The 1,245-nt window shown below is 46.0% G+C and overlaps 1 long non-coding RNA gene across 1 annotated transcript; it reads right to left on the reverse strand.

Annotated features, from left to right (window-relative positions):
* Positions 1 to 423: 423 nt before the first annotated feature.
* Positions 424 to 961, reverse strand: LOC124903991 (uncharacterized). The gene is made up of 2 exons (XR_007065738.1): positions 883 to 961; positions 424 to 690 (listed from the first exon to the last, which is right to left on the reverse strand). It is a non-coding gene; the product is annotated as an uncharacterized LOC124903991 (long non-coding RNA).
* Between the last annotated feature and the right edge of the window lie 284 nt (positions 962 to 1,245).

Consider the following 1,245-nt stretch of genomic DNA (forward strand, 5'->3'; position numbering starts at 1 on the left):
CAAGGGGCAAAAAGCAAACATGGCTTCTGCCCTCATAGAATTTACAGTTTTGTAGGGAGGACAGCTTTTAATCAACTGACCCCACAGACAGATTGCAAATTACACCTGCGCAAGTAAGTGCAACAAAGGAATGATCTCAGAGCCTGGGGAGGAGGAAGGGCCCAGGCAGGGAGATTTCCCTAAGGTAGTGAGGAGTGAGTTCAATCTGAAGGATGAGTAGGAGTTTACTAAGCAAAAAGAGAAAAGTCTTGCAAGAAAAGGGAATAGCTTTTCTTGCCCACATGTATGGGAGCCTGCCGCAAGGTTGATGGGAATGCAGGGAACAGAGAACAAGGTGGAGCTTAGCAGGGGATGTGGCTAGAGAGGCAGGGGTTAGATCACACAGGGGTCAGATCACAAGATCACACATTAGCCTAAGAACAATGGGAAGCCATGAACAATTTTAATCACAGGCTATGAACACATTTCCATTCTGAAAAGGTCCCTCTGGTTGCAGGACTCAACCCTCCACCCTCTTCCCCTCAATGCACCCTCAGGTATTAGAAGTCACTGAGTTCTGCAGCTGATCCTTCCTCCTTTTCCCTTGCATCTCTCAATATCTCCCACTGGGACTATTTCAATGGGCTCCCTGCCTCCAGTCTCACCTCCTCCACACAAAAAGCTTGATCTTATTTGATCCTCACAACATGCCTGCAAGCAAGCAAAATTGCAATCCTTATCCCTGTGTAAAGATAAGAAGGCCGGGCGTGGGCGCGGTGGCTCACGCCTGTAATCCCAGCATTTTGGGAGGCCAAGGCGGGTGGATCACCTGAGGTCAGGAGTTCAAAACTGGCCTGGCCAACATGGTGAAACCCTGTCTCTACTAAGAATACAAAAAATTACCTGGAGCGAGGCAGGAGAATTGCTTGAACCCGGGAGGCAGAGGTTGCAGTGAGCCAAGATAGCGCCATTGCACTCCAGCCTGGGCAATAGAGAAAGATTCCATCTCAACAACAGCAAAAACTTAATGTGTTGTCTGTAGCCGTTACATTATGAATAGCACAAAAATTGAGTAAATATTCTTCCAGTATTTGAAACCGTTTTCTGACTCAGCAAAGAAGTTGCTCCCATCATTGACAATCCAATTAAGTTTTGTCTTTTTCAGTTTTATCAACCAACATTCACCTTTACAATTACACTCCTAGGTCAACTGCAATCACAGTTTGGCTACCCATATAAGAGTTTGGCAAAAATCAATGAAAGCAT

The sequence above is a fragment of the Homo sapiens genome, chromosome 17 (genome assembly GCF_000001405.40).
Source record: "Homo sapiens chromosome 17, GRCh38.p14 Primary Assembly".
NCBI classification, from domain to species: domain Eukaryota; kingdom Metazoa; phylum Chordata; class Mammalia; order Primates; family Hominidae; genus Homo; species Homo sapiens.